Source organism: Homo sapiens, chromosome 6 (assembly GCF_000001405.40).
Source record: "Homo sapiens chromosome 6, GRCh38.p14 Primary Assembly".
Taxonomy (NCBI): Eukaryota; Metazoa; Chordata; class Mammalia; order Primates; family Hominidae; genus Homo; species Homo sapiens.
This window is the reverse complement of record NC_000006.12, coordinates 13,565,288-13,579,948: the sequence shown is the minus strand read 5'-3', so window position 1 is coordinate 13,579,948 and position 14,661 is coordinate 13,565,288. Positions and strand designations below refer to the sequence as shown.

General features: G+C 42.8%; 1 protein-coding gene and 1 long non-coding RNA gene across 44 annotated transcripts in view, besides 6 other annotated features; one reads left to right on the top strand and one right to left on the bottom strand.

The window, feature by feature from the left end:
• The window catches only part of SIRT5 (sirtuin 5), a 40,885-nt gene extending 35,210 nt beyond the window's left edge, over nt 1-5,675 (bottom strand). For 8 of the 43 annotated variants that reach the window (NR_164854.1, NR_164853.1, NR_164852.1 and 5 more), the window contains exons 1-2: nt 5,325-5,348; nt 340-498 (exon numbers count right to left, since the gene is read on the bottom strand). The gene's annotated coding sequence lies outside the window, so the exon portion shown is untranslated. Of the gene's footprint in view, nt 1-339; nt 499-1,115; nt 1,178-4,577; nt 5,421-5,490 lie in introns of those variants that run through there. The other 35 variants (NM_001193267.2, NM_001242827.1, NM_031244.3 and 32 more) reach the window with 14 other exon arrangements.
• Nucleotides 4,411-4,996: an enhancer, noted in NCBI's record as "NANOG-H3K27ac-H3K4me1 hESC enhancer chr6:13575185-13575770 (GRCh37/hg19 assembly coordinates)". NCBI's record gives its function as "activates a minimal SCP1, AML or CMV promoter by ChIP-STARR-seq in primed H9 embryonic stem cells {active_cell/tissue: H9 hESC(primed)}" and the evidence as "EXISTENCE:reporter gene assay evidence [ECO:0000049][PMID:30033119]".
• Nucleotides 4,411-5,065: a biological region, named in NCBI's record as "NANOG-H3K27ac-H3K4me1 hESC enhancer GRCh37_chr6:13575185-13575770".
• Nucleotides 4,586-5,065: an enhancer, noted in NCBI's record as "active region_24037". NCBI's record gives its function as "activates an Ori minimal core promoter by ATAC-STARR-seq in GM12878 lymphoblastoid cells {active_cell/tissue: GM12878}" and the evidence as "EXISTENCE:reporter gene assay evidence [ECO:0000049][PMID:35858748]".
• Nucleotides 4,997-5,583: an enhancer, noted in NCBI's record as "NANOG-H3K27ac-H3K4me1 hESC enhancer chr6:13574598-13575184 (GRCh37/hg19 assembly coordinates)". NCBI's record gives its function as "activates a minimal SCP1, AML or CMV promoter by ChIP-STARR-seq in primed H9 embryonic stem cells {active_cell/tissue: H9 hESC(primed)}" and the evidence as "EXISTENCE:reporter gene assay evidence [ECO:0000049][PMID:30033119]".
• Nucleotides 4,997-5,795: a biological region, named in NCBI's record as "NANOG-H3K27ac-H3K4me1 hESC enhancer GRCh37_chr6:13574598-13575184".
• Nucleotides 5,276-5,795: a silencer, noted in NCBI's record as "silent region_16933". NCBI's record gives its function as "represses an Ori minimal core promoter by ATAC-STARR-seq in GM12878 lymphoblastoid cells {active_cell/tissue: GM12878}" and the evidence as "EXISTENCE:reporter gene assay evidence [ECO:0000049][PMID:35858748]".
• On the top strand, nt 5,515-7,877 carry LOC105374937 (uncharacterized). Its single transcript, XR_926497.4, has 2 exons — nt 5,515-5,984; nt 6,728-7,877. It is a non-coding gene; the product is annotated as an uncharacterized LOC105374937 (long non-coding RNA).
• Nucleotides 7,878-14,661: the final 6,784 nt, after the last annotated feature.

Genomic DNA, 14,661 nt, shown 5'->3' with positions numbered 1-14,661 from the left:
GCATGATAAACTTTTGACAAACTTCAATTTACCTGGAAAACTCAGTAAGGAACAAATGAGGTGTTAATATAGTTTGTGGGTTTTTTGTTAAAATCTGGAAAAACTTAAACATATACAAAAATAAACAGTGTAGTATGGGGAACCCTTATATTCTTATCACCCAGCTTCAATAATTAGGGGCATGAAGTTTTAAAAATATCGTTAGAGATGACAATTATTAAACTTGCATGTCATGAAAATTGTGAAGATCAAAACTCTGAATACTGCCTAACAGTAACTAAAAGCTTCTTATATGCTGCATGAAGTTACTTAGGCTATCATCTTGAGCTTAATACATACCTTTAGTTATTTCTCCCAAAATGAAGATGGTTGTCTCCACGGCTGCTTTCTAATATATTTGAATCTGGAGACATCAATATAATACAGACTTCTAATTTGATCCAGAAAATTATTTTCTTCTTCTGTAGGTTTTTATATGTTAGAAAACATTTCCATTTACTGTAAAAGAATTCAAAAAAACTACTGAATAAACTGTCATTTTTTTTTATCAGGCATGAAGGTAGGATTGTAAAAGTCATTAAGAATTTAAAAGAAATTAAGAACAATGTCACCTGGAATTATTCCCAAGATCGTAAATGTTCATAACATAAAACTATTTTCTTAGTCTTTATTTGCGACTACAAAGTATTTTAAGACTAAAAGTCTAAATACAATTTAGTATTTGCTACTAAATAGTCTTTTAAGATACTACTACAAAGTCTTTATTGAAAACATCCTTTGTGCCAACATGTATCTGCTTTTCCAGGGTGTCAGGGCAGGCAGTGGTTCTAGTTTCCACAAGGTTACAACCCTGTTCAAATTTAGAAGCAATGTCAGAAGGGTGACAAGGCACCATTGTGACAGTTAGAGGAAAGAGGACTCAGGGTGAAAGTTACCCTGGGTGAAGACTCCTGCCTTGATTTTATCTTCCAGGTGGGAAAAGAGGCCTTGAGGGAGGAAATAAACTCATTGATCAGTCATTGGGAGCTTTTTGGGTGCTAGGCAGGTTCTTATAAATTGACATTAATCCAAGTAATGTCATTTAACGATGCCTTTTCATGAAATCTGAAACTCACCTAACAGATTTTTTTTAAAAGCCTGTATGTTCTCTGTGAAAAAGGGGGGCACCCTACCAATTCTGAAAGATAGAAGTGAAAGATTATATCAGAAATTTGAGGGAAAAAAATTTACAGAAAACTCAGAACCTGATGGCTTCACTGATGACCTGAATTCTACCAAACATTTAAAGCAGAACTAATACCAATTATTTTCTTTTTTTTTTTTTTTTTTTTTGAGATGGAGTCTCGCTCTGTCCCCCCAGCTGCAGTGCAGTGGCGCCGTCTCCACTTACTGCAAGCTCCACCTCCCGGGTTCATGCCATTCTGCCTCAGCCTCCCGAGTAGCTGGGACTACAAGCAACCGACACCACGCCCGGCTAATTTTTTGTATTTTTAGTAGAGACGGGGTTTCACCGTGTTAGCCAGGATGGTCTCGATCTCCTGACCTCGTGATCCGCCTGCCTCGGCCTCCCAATACCAATTATTTTCAAACTCTTCTAAAAAACTAAAGAGGAGGAAATACTTCTAAACTCATTTTAGGAGGCCAGTATTACCCTGATACCAAAGCCAGAGAAGGACGTTACAAGAAGAAAAACTACAGACCAATATCCCTGATGAACATAGATGCAAAAATTCTTAACAAAATACTAACAAACTGAATTCACTGACACGTTAAAAGGATCATTCATCATGATTGAGATTTATCCCTGGAATGCAAAGATGGCTCAACATACACAAATCAATAAATGAGATATACCATATTAACAAAATGGAGGACAAAAACTGTATGATCACCTCAAAAGATGCAGTAAAACATGTGACAAAATTCAACATCTTTTCATAATAAAAACTCTCAATAAGTATAGAAGTACTGTGACACAGAAAGACCAAATATGACAAACTCACAGCTAAATCATACTCAACGGTAAAAAGTTGAATGCTTTTCCTCTAAGATCAGGAACAAGACAATGATGCTCACTCTCACATTGTCTATTCAGTGTAGTACTAGATGTCCTAGCCAGAGCAATTATGCAAGGAAAGGAAGTAAGTCATCCAAATAGGAAGGGAAGAATTTTTCTATATATGTTTTCTATATATAAGATCTATATATAATATAGATATGTATATAAAATATAGATATATAATATCTATGTATATAAGATATACAGAGAGATCTATAGGGATATATAAATATATATATAATATAGAGAGACATATAAGATATATGAGATTTCTATATATAAGATGTTATCAGCATGATCCCTGTTTGATGATAATATGATTTTATATACAGAATACACTAAAGACTCAACCAAAAAAAACTGTTAGAACTAATAAATTCAGGGAAGTTGCAGGATACAAAATCACATATAAAAATCAGTGGTGTTTCTATACTCTAACAACCAACTATATGAAAAAGAAATTAAGAAAACAATTTCATTTATAATAGCATTAAAGAAAAAACCACTTCAGGTAAATTTAACCAAAGATATAAGACCTGTACACTGAAAACCATAAAACACTGATGTGAGAAAAGAGACACAAATAAGTAAAAAGGTATCCCATGTTCGCGGATTAGAAAAATTAATGGTTGTTAAAGTGTCCATACTACCCAAAGCAATCTACAGATTCAATGTAATCTCTATCAAAATTCCAATATCATTTTTCACAGAAATAGAAAAAACAATCCTAAAGTTCATATGGAATTGCAAAAGACCCTAAATAGCCAAAGCAGTCTTGAGTGAAAGGAACAAAGCCAAAGGCATCACACTCCCTAATCTCAAAATATATTATAGGGCCATTGTAATCAAAACTGCATGGCACTGGCATAAAAATCGGCACATCAACCAATGGAACAGGAATAGAAAGCCCAGAAATAAGCCCAAGTATTTACAGTCAATTGATTTTTGACAAAGGTGCTAAGAACACACAATGGGAAAAGGAAAGTCTCTTTAATAAATGGCATCAGGAAAACTGAATATCCACATGCTGGATAACAAAATTGAGTCCTTATCTCACACCATATACAAAAATCAACTCAAAATAGATTAAAGTCTCAAACATAACACCTGAAACTGTAAAACTAATAGAAGATAACATAGGTGAAAACTCCATATTAGTCTGGGCAATGATTTCTTGGATAGGACCCCAAAAGCAACAAAAGCAAAAATAGACACATGGGATTGCATCAAACTAAAAAGCCTCTGCACAGCAAAGAAAATAATTAACAGAGTAAAGAGACAACCCACAGACTGGGAGAAAATATTTGCAAACCATGCATCTGATAAGGGGCTCTTATCTAAAATATATAAGAAACTCAAAAAACTCAACAGCAAAACAAAACAAAACGAATAACCCGGTTAAAAAATGGACAAAGAACCTGAACAGGTATTCCTCAAAAGAAGACATATGAATGGTCAACAAATACATGAAAAACGCTCAACTTTGCTAACCACCAGGGAAATGCAAATTAAATCACACTGAGCTACCACCTCACGCTTGTTAGAATGGCTATTATAAAAAAGATCAAAGACAACAAGTTTTGTCCAGAATGTGGAGAAAAGGGAACCCTGGTACACTGTTGGTGGAATGTAAATTAGTACAGCCATTTTGGAAAACAGTATGGAGGCTCCTCAAAATCTAAAAATAGAATTACCACATGACCCAGAAATCCTACTTCTGGGTATATATACAAAGGAATTGAAATCAGTATGTTGAAGAGATAGCTGCATTCCTGTGTTGTTTTCAGCATTATTCACAATAACCAAGATATAGAAGCAACTAAGTATCCATCAACTGAGGACCGGATAAAGAAAATGTGGCACATATATACAATGGAATACTATACAGTCTTAAAACAGAAGGCAATTCTGTCATTTGCAACAACATGGATGAACCTGGAGGACATGAGGCCAAGTAAAATAAGCCAGGCACAGAAGGACAAACAGCACATGATCTTACTTATATACTTGGGGTCTAAAAAAGTTGAACTCATAGAAGCAGAGTAGAATGATGGTTACCAGGGGCCTGGCAGAGGGCTGATGTGGAAGGGAGGGATGTTGGTCAAAGGATACAAAGTTTTAGTTAGGTAAGAGGAGTAAGTTTTAGTGATCTACTGCACAGCATGGTGACCATAGTTGATGATGTATTGTATATTTCCAGGAGAGTAGATTTTCACCACAAAAAATAAGTAGGTGAGGTGATGGATATGTCAATTAGCTTGATTTAATCTTTCTACAATGTATACATATATCAAAACATTACACTGTACGCTATAAATATATAAATTTGTCAATAAAAATAATTATATAAATATATATTTATATAAAACAAAATACATGCTAAGGATAATGCAATGAACTGCAAAAAGTTGTACAGGCTCCCAATAAATAATTTTTGAACGCCTAAGAGCTAAATAAATGCAATACATCACTCCCAGGTGTCTCCACTAGGGGGCCCCATTCCCTCCCGTTCCATCACCTGCTTTCCTCAAGGTCGTCTCCACCCTCCTATTTGTTGATACCCGGCCTCTGACCCAGTTCATCACTTTCCCGGGCTTCCGGGCGCCACCCTCTTCAGGTTTTCCTCCTACCCCTCCAGCCCTGCCCCTCTGGATCTCCCATCCTCCCAGCGCGCCAGACTGCATGCGGCCTCCCCGCCCTGTGTCCAAGAGGCAGCTTCCACTCCACGCGGGCAAGCCTGAGCTCCAGAGCCGTCCTCAAGCCGCCTCCCCCCGAAGCACTGGGACTTCATCCTCCCGGCTACTACTCGTGCCCAGGGACTAGGCCCTGAGCCTTCCCTTCTCGCACGCCCCATAGCCAAGCTGCTCAGCAGAACCTGACGGCTCCACCTTCAAACTACGTCCGGAATCCGACCCCTCTCCACGCCCACTGCCTCCACCCCGGCCACCTTCCTCGGTCACCCTGGCAGCTGCAATGACCAGGGTGACCTTTCTGAAAAGGGAGGCTCTGTTCGGAGCCCTCGCGGGGCTCCCCAGCACAGCGGCCTCCCATGCCCACCTGCTCGGGTGGGATTACTTTCCAACCCCGTTTCCATCCCCCTCCCTGGTCTCCAGCCGCAGCGACCCCCACGCAGAGCCCGGAAGACCTTGGGCCCCGCACATGCTGCCGGCCCGCTAAGAGCTCTGGGTACCCCCGGAGCGCCTTCCAGGCTTTCTCCTAGAGGCGCTGTGTCCCGACCGCGCTCCGGACCTGAGCCACGGCTCACCTGGGGCAGCTCGCGCCCCCGAATACAGTCTCCCACGCCCCGCCCCCCGGGGTGCCTCCCTCCCAGCTCTCTGTACCCACCCACCATCCCCCACATCCCTTCCTCCAACCGCTAGCCAGTCACCAGCCCGGGACCGCAGGGCAGAGGCCGGGCCGCGCATGCGCACCGCGGACCGGTGCCACCTCCGCTCGCGAGCCCGCGGCAGGCCCTGGGCGGTGCGCGCAGTCCCGCGAGAGCAGTGCTTGGTCGGGACCTCGAAGCCGGAGCCCGAGCGGGAGAGGCCGCGGAGACCCCGGCCCGGCGCAGGCAGAGACGCACCTGCGGGAGGCGGGCGCGCCGGCTGGAGAGGAGGCCGTGGGGCGGAGCGGCTCAGCGTTCTGCTCGGCTGCAGCGGCCCCTGCCGGAGACCCGGGCGCCGTGGTCTTCTTTATAATTGAAGGATTGTCTCTCTGTTTTTATTTGGGGTGGGGGTGGGGGTGGGGGGCGGCGCAGTGACTTGCTTCGACTTTGTCAGCTTCCAGGGTTCATTCCACTGCCCAAATATGTAGTGAGTTACTACCGGCTTTGCTTCCTCCTTCAGCAAACGGCTGGACCACACAACTTCAGGAGAGAGGATTTTAAATGTTAGGGTCATTTTCCCTAAAACGATTTCAAATGACGGTGAGTTGGTTCCCAGGCTAGGCCACCTAACCTCGAACGCAATGACGAGTGCACTCTGACTGCTGAGCTGAGAGCCTTCCGTGGCTCTGGGACCCAGTGACTCACGTGGCTCCGCATGTCCCCGTTCCCTTAAAATCGGAGTCTTTCCTTTTCTTGGATTCCGGCTTGCCACCAGCACCACTTGGCAGAATGGAATTGCTTGCGGGCATGTCAGTGGACTAGAAAGGGAAGTAAGTGGTCTGAGAACTTGGGGGCCAAAAATGTTACATTAACATTTTTTGCCTACCTAAAATCTCAGCCACTTCCCACAGTTTGGCTGGAAATTCAGCCCATGTTGAGGCCCTTCTCATTCCTGCAGGTGTTACCAGCAACTCAGAGGTTTATGGAGTAACGAAATTGGGGAGGGCCTCACATCCGGCTGCTGTTTTTCCCCCTAACGTGTATGGTGCTTATTCTGAGCCAGACACTTTTAAGAACTGCACATTATTAACCATTTTAAATCGTCCCCACCACCTGATGAAATAGGTACTGTTATCCCCACTTTATGGGTGGGGAAACCGAGGCCCAGGGAGGTCAAGTAACTGCGCAAAGCACAAAACTGTTGAGTAGTAGTGTTACCAGGGCAGTCCTGGAGAAATCGCTCAGAGGGCAAAACTGAGAGCTCATTATTTTCTTAAACAGTAGACAGCTGAAAATGCTCATTGTTTTTTAAACCGTTTTGTTTGTTTGATTTTTTTTCCTAGTCTCTTTATCTATAGGTAACCCAGCTTAAAACAACTGCGGTTGGCCCGGGATCCTCACTGCCCTTTGCCAAGTACCAGAGAAAGATAAGGCCTACTAGGAACCAGAGAAAACCAGAACCAGCCACCCCTTGTTACTTTTAGATCATTAATACATCATTATATGCTCAACTCCCGACCCGTAGAAGAGAATCGCCGCCATTTTCTGATAGTGCATTGTATGAAGAGGCATGTTTATGAAATGCACCTGTGCGTCTAGAGTTCCTCCCGGCATATGCTTGCATACCTCCCCACTCCACATCTAACGCCTTACAATTCCCCAGCTTCCCAAAGCTCTGGAAGAAGGGGGTCTTTAGAGTGAAAGTTTACTCCTTCTCTATTCCTGGCCAGGAATGAAACCCGCTTGCCGTTTTTTCCAGTTGGTGTGCTTTCTTTGCAACTGATACAGACTAGGAAAAGAACGCAATTTACCAGTAACAGTAGAGCTGGGATTTAAATCTAAGTGCTTTGACTTCAAAGACAAGGTTCCAAGCTGCTACACATACCAATTCTCGTTAAAGTGTATTCCATTTCTTTTGTGCTTTCATATTGACCATTGTGTGTTAATCCTTTCAATTGGAAGAAGAGGGAGACAGTGCCAGTTATTGCAAACTTTCACAGTCCACAGGCCCGATATGTAGCCTTCACCACCCACAGGTTCTGCCACTTCTGGGGCATTATATTCCATCAAGATCCAGGCACCCGCCATCCACATACCAGCCCTGGAACTCGTCCCTTCTCCCAGACTTGGAAACGCCACCTCTCCCTGACCAATGTCGAGCCACTTCCTCATCTTGATACATCAGCCACTATCCTTTCCATCTTTCAGGCAACTCCAGCTTAATTTCTCGATGGCCTTGCCCTTCTAAAAGGCCGTTCTCTTTTCCCAGATGACTTTTTCCTATCCCCTCCACAGTAACTCCCCTCATCCTTCCAGTCTCAATTCAATTGTTCCTTGGTGGGGTGGGGCGGGGGGAGCCTTCTTAAACCCTCCTCCCTCACAACTGCATGAGGTCCCTTGTCTCTAATATAAGCTCCTGTAGCACCATGGCACTTATCCCAGTTGAGATTTTAAATATATTTCTGTGTATTTGATTAAAGTTTCTCTCCTCCACCAGGCTGTGAAGGTGGCTTCTTGTTTTGTTTTGCTCCCCGTGGTATTCCCAGCACCTCAGGATCCCTTATAGTAGATGCTGAATTAGTAAATACATATTAAATAAATGAATGAACAATCTCACAGGAAAAGCAGCCTCAAACTCAGAGGATAATGGCTTGGGCTATCTTTACTAAAATTTAAGAGGCGAATGACCTTTTCTTTCTGCTTATGAGTCTGTCTGTAGCAGCACAAAATAAAAAATAAACAAGCAAGATAGAGTTCATTGATAACTCATCCTATTTACAGAGGTTTTCCTGGGACATGTGGGTAGGTGACAGAAAAGTTTAGAAGCACATACACTGGAAAATAATTTTGCCTATTTCCTTTGGTGAGATTCAGACATGTCAAGCTTTAACTCTGGAAAGAAAATCTCTCTCCATCCTGAGTTTTACATCCTCTTGGGATCTCTCACTTTATTGGTTATCACTGCTGTCTCTCAGGGGTGAACTGTCCTCTTTAAGCTTCTGGTGCAAATATAAATATGGAAATAAATGCCTAGGGATTTATTTCCTAGAATGACCCTACCCTGAGTTGGAGCATCACACACAGCACCATGAGTTGTGACGCTAACCTCCATCAGCTGGTCAGTGCATCTGCGTGTAACATGTAGCCATAGCATTTTCCCAACCCTGCTACACACAGTAACAGTGCACACAGCACATCTTAAGAAATAAAATTGACATGAATAACTGAGAGGTGGCAGACAGGAAAATGGGGATTGCAGGTGTTTGCATGCTCTGCAGTGAGGAAAGCTAGGTTGTCAGGACAAGTCTGCAACAGAAGGCAGTCTCGGGCCACGAGAACAACACACTGTCTTTCGATGGCTGGATGGTTGGATGACGAGCCCATATTCTTTTATTTTCTTTCTTTTTTTTTTTTTTGAGACAGAGTCTTGCTCTGTTGCCAGGCTGGAGTGCAGTGGCGTAATCTTGGTTCACTGCAACCTCTGCCTCCCGGATTCAAGCAATTCTCCTGCCTCAGCCTCCCGAGTAGCTGGGACTACAGGCGCCTGCCACCATGCCCAACTAATGTTTTTGTATTTTTAGTAGAGACGGGGTTTCACCATGTTGGCCAGCCTGGTTTCGAACTCCTGACCTCAGGTGATCTGCTTGCCTCGGCCTCTCAAAGTGCTACGATTACAGGCGTGAGCCACCCCTGACCAACCAATTAGCCCCTTTTTTTTTTTTTTTTTTTAAACAGAGTCTTGCTCTGTCACCAGGCTGGAGTGCCGTGGTATAATCTCGGGTCACTGCAACCTCTACCTCCCAGGTTCAAGCGATTCTTCTGTCTCAGCCTCCCGAGTAGCTGGGACTACAGGCGCTTGCCACCATGCCCAGCTAATGTTTTTGTATTTTTAGTGGAGACAGGGTTTCACCATGTCAGCCAGTCTGGTTTCGAACACCTGACCTCAAGTGATCAGCTTGCCTCGGCCTCTCAAAGTGATAGGATTACAGATGTGAGCCACCACACCCAGCCAATGAGCCCATATTCTTTTACTCTTTTCTTTTCTTTTTTTTTTTTTTTTTTGAGACGGAGTTTCGCTCTTGTTGCCCAGGCTGGAGTGCAATGGCACGATCTTGGCTCACTGCAACCTCCACCTCCTGGGTTCAAGCGATTCTCCTGCCTCAGCCTCCCGAGTAGCTGGGACTACAGTGCCACCACGCCCAGCTAATTTTTGTATTTTTAGCAGAGACGGGGTTTCACCACGTTGACCAGGGTGGTCTCGATCTCTTGACCTCGTGATCCACCCGCCTCAGCCTCCCAAAGTGCTGGGATTACAGGCGTGAGCCACCACGCCCGGCTGAAATTTCTGTTCTTTATAAGTTACTGTTCTTTATAAGTTACCCAGTCTGTGGTATTCTGTGACAGCAGCACAAATGGACTAAGACAATACCCCAATCCATCTCCAATGAGGTGTCCAAGTTCTCCACTCTCCCAATGTTTACCATTGGATGGAAAGTTGTCCATAGTTATTGGGTGGGGGTAGGAGGGAGTTTAGTGGGGAAGGTCCATGCTTGAGGACCTCTTTGTCTCTGATACCTTTCCACCCTGGTCCTTGGTCTCTACAATAGTTCAAGGATGAGGATCAAAGTCCTAGCAGTTTCCAAATGCTGATTCTTTCTCTGATGAGAGACCTGTATAGTTTGGGGGGATTCTTATAACCTTAGCTCCCTTGACATGGTCTCCTTAGCTTCTGCATCTTGGTAGGTTTGGATCTTTTCTAGCAGAGGGCCCTTCTCTTGACAGAAAGCTGGTAGAACAGGATTCTTCCCAAGAAAACTAAAAGCCAACTCCCTTTCCCATGGGGCCGTATCAAGTCCGTGGAAAACGTGCCTGAATCTTTTCACTGCTGAATCCTGGAAACAGAGGCATTCCTAACACAGCCCAAACTCTCTTGGGTCTGTTCCCTCAGGCCCACCTAGCCACTTCTTTCCTGTGGGTTTTCACAGGTACATATTGGCTACCAGTCCCTGAGGTCCTCCAGCTCTAGGGACACAGGTCAAGCTCTCTGGGTGTTTTTCTGAAGCCCTCCTCATTTGTCTTGAGGTGTAGGGAAAAGCTCTGTTCTCCTCACCAATGAGAGATAAGAAACATACCTGCATTTTAACAACGACAGTCAGAGAATTTTTTTCCTTTTACGTGTCTCTGGATGAGTGAGGGGCTAATAATGGCATAACAGTAACAATAGCTAATGTTTGCTGAGCTCTAAGCACCAGGCACGATTATGAACATTCCCCATGGGTTATTCTATTCTTCAATCCTCACAATGACCCAGTGAGGTAGAGGCTTTGATTTTCTTCATTTTACCGCATGGACAGATGAACTAATCTGCCCCTGGTCACGGAGTTGCTAACTACAGGGTCAGAATTTGGACCCAGGCCTTCTGGCTCCTGAGCCCATGCTGTTGCCAACTATGAATAGTCTAGCACCTCTCTTTCTAAGGTGGGGGTGCTCGTCACCTCTTTTCTTCTCAGCCTTCTGAACCTAAGCAACATTCTGAGGCAACCAGGGACATTGCGTGTAATATCCTGATACATGAAAACATATATATATAATGTTGTACATTATATATAACATATAAAATGTGCATTTTTTTCTTTTGCTCCCTACATTGTCTCTATTTTCTCCTGTTTCCTTTTGTGTTTGTTTTGGAGAGATCATGAGAGATCATGTTGGAGGCTTTCCTCAAGTATCTGATGATCCTTGACTGTTCACAGCAAGACACCAAAAATGGATAGGATGATCCCAGGTAGGGGTGGGGGTTGAGGAATGGCTTCACTGTTGGGCAAGGATAGAGCTAGTTCATTGGAGGACACAAAAAAATGTCAGTCTTTGAGGCTTTCAGGTATTTAAAGAAGCATCATACAGTATCCTGTTGGTGAAAGGTATGTGCCTGTTTGCCAGAGTTTTCCTGACTGAGTCGTGGAAGAGGGTTTGGGATAGGGTGGGAGGTCCTTAATATTAAAATGTAGACTTTCTCTTAGTCCTCTTTTTTTTTTTTTTTTTCCCAGTACAGCATCTCTCCCTCACTCTCCTCTGCTTGCTGTCCCCAGGTTGTCCCCAAGAGTGGTGCAGTTTTTCCAATGAAGAAAACTTTCGCTTTGTACAAGCATGTGGGGAGGCGAAGGAGAGGAGAAGATGGGAGGGAGGGGGAAGGAAGCAGAATTTTTTAAAAGCTATGCAGCTCTAGAAACTGAATCCTATTGATATTTTTGAAGGGAGCAAGTTAAATGTATAAATTGCTTTAAGGAGAATTAACAGATTTATGATAGTGAACTTTCCTATTTAAAAACAATGTTTACCTTTCCATTTATTCAAGTCATCTTGTAAATCTCCCAGGAATGTTTTCAACTTTCTTCATATGAATTTTCCACATTTTCCTATTTAATTTATTCCTAAATATTTTATAATTAAAAATAAGTTGTGGAAGTTAACCAAAGGATGTGTTCATTTCGAAAAGTCATCTTTACATGAAGAACTGAACAAAACAAAAAATAAGACAGTAGGTCAAAAGCTAAGAAACACGAGAATAAAAATCCAATATTCTTCAAATTGACTGGGTAGATGCAGCCACCTCTAGTATAATTTCATCCATCCATCCATCTATACATCCATCACAGCATCCATCCATTTATATACTCATTCATTTATCTTATATGTGCCAAAAACTGGCTAGGCCTTCAATGTGAGCTCTGTATGAGTACTGATAATATTAGCAGTGCATGGATGAAATAATAAAACTCTACTATCAAACATACTCTTTTTGTTTTTTTCTTTAGCCCCTCCTCAAAACTTTAAATACTGAAATTTAGTCTTTGCTTTTTCTCCCTTCCTTTCTAATACAGAGCTCTACAGGGTACCTGTTGTAAATATTAACATTTTCCTTAGGCGCATAAAGCATTTAAAAAATTTTTTTCATCAGAGTCTTTAAGAAGTTTAATATAATCTGGTGAGAGGTCAAGGCAAAAGATTGAAGTTGAGGCAAAACTAGTGCACCGGCATTGTCTCTAATCAGGACACTTTATTAGAGCGGTAGGAACAAAAAACACCCTCAGGAAACACACAGAAGAGAGCTTGGGTTTAAGTTCTACTTCAGCGGACATTTGTCCATTTTATTACATATTCGATCTGTATTTATTTCATAAACAGATTTGATCACTTACTCCACTGAGTGTGTGATAAACACTGGAGTGCATGTAGAAGTGTGTTGCAGGCAATGTTCTGTGGGACTGAAAAGCACAGGATTTAAGAATCCAGTCTTCACCAATTCTGTCTTAGCATCTTGAACCTCAGATTTTTCACCTTTCAGATGGGGCTAATAATGCTCATTCTGAATGCATTGTTGTAAGGATTAAATGAAATAAGGTATGAAGAGTATTTAACATAGTGCCTAGCATACAGTACCACCCAATAGGCAGTTGCTGTTCATTTGCTACTTTCCAGGACTAGGTTATGAAATTACTTTATACATTTCACTTTGAAATAACATCTGAGTAGTTATTAGCAACTATCAACCCCCTCATCTTTGTACTGTTTCATCAATCTCCTTGAAAAAGAAACCATATATCAACCCTCTTGGAAAGGCATAAAATGAATATTAACCAGATTCTGAAATTTCCGTCATGTCAAACAGGCGTGATTCTGAAAACAGCAGCATCAGCAACACCTGGAAGTTTTTAGAAATGCTAAATATAAATCCCTACTCTAAAATGCTCCATCAGGATCTGCATTTTCAGATCCTAAGGTGACTGTATGCACTTTACAGTTTGAGAGTTACTGCCCTTGTTTACCTACCAGTGGAAGTTCAAGAGGGCATTTACCTGATGATTTTTGGAAGCAGAGGAGGAGAATGAGACATAAGATGAGAAAAAAGCAGTGGAAACTCTTGGGACTTTCCACATGTCCTGGCCTCACCCAGGTCCACAGCCCTTTGAACTTGCTTATCCTCCCCATGATGGACATGTGTGGTACAAGATACCACCAAGAAAGGCGTATGTGGTGAACTGGCAGGGAAATGCGGAAGGGGGCTCTCTAGAAGACAGAGTGTGGACTACGGGGACCCTGGAAGTGAATTCATCCTCAGGAAAGAAACAGGAAGGCGTGTTGAGCTGGTCTCAACAATAAGTCTAAGGTCTGAAGCCGGGCAGCAGGTCTAAGTAGACAGAGCATAGTGGTCATGACGCAAGCCTGCCCAAGCCAGTCCCCTTGACACCACCTGAGCTTTAGAGAGGAAAGAGCTTATGTAAAAGTAAAGCATTTGGCTCATTAAATTCTGTGATGCCTGGGGTCTAAGGATCTCTCCTACGGCCTCTAAGAATATAAACCAAGAAGAGCAGGATTCACAAGTCATTATCCATCACACAGCACAAATGATCTGTAGGCAATGGCCCAAGGAGACTGTTGAGCAGTGGATGGGGATGAGTCATCCTGCTGACATGGGCACTGGCGTGAAGGGGTTTGAAGATGCCCCTTCACAACAAAAATCAAAGCAAAACAATACCTGGGATACTGTAGTGATGTAGGTATGGGATGTTTGACTAATAAAATAAGTAAGTGGTAATGAGCTTATTTATACTGTTAGCGAGTGAGATCTGCGGATGTTCCAGTTATAGAGGAATAGCCATTTGATTCTTAATTGCAAACAACGGAAACCAACTGGCTGACTGAACTATTAAAAAATGAATTCATTAAAAAAGATTAGGGCCAGGTGTGGTGGCTCACACCTGTAACCCAATATTTTGGGAGGCCAAGGTAGGAGAATTCCTTGAGGCCAGAAGTTCAAGACCAGCCTGGGCAATATAATGAGACTGTCTCTAGAAAACAATTTTAAAATTAGCCAGTTGTGGTGGCCTGTAGTCCCAGCCACTCAGGAGGCTGAGGCTGGAGGATGGCTCGGGCCCAGGAGTTTGAGGCTGCAGTGAGCTATGATCACATCACTGCATTCAAGCCTGAGTGACAGAATGAGACCCAGTCTCATTAAAAAAAAAAAAAAGTTTCTAGATAGCAACTCTATTCATAATCTCCCCCAAATGGAAACAACCAAATGTCCATCAGTAGGGGAATGGATGAGCAAATGGTAGTACATCATACAACATAATACTATTCAATAAAAAGCAATGGACTACATGAAACAATTTGGATGAATCTCAAAGACACCATGCAGACATAAAAGGCTACCTACTATATATTTCAATTTATATAACATTCTAGAAAAGGTAAACTCTAGGGATGGACAACAAAT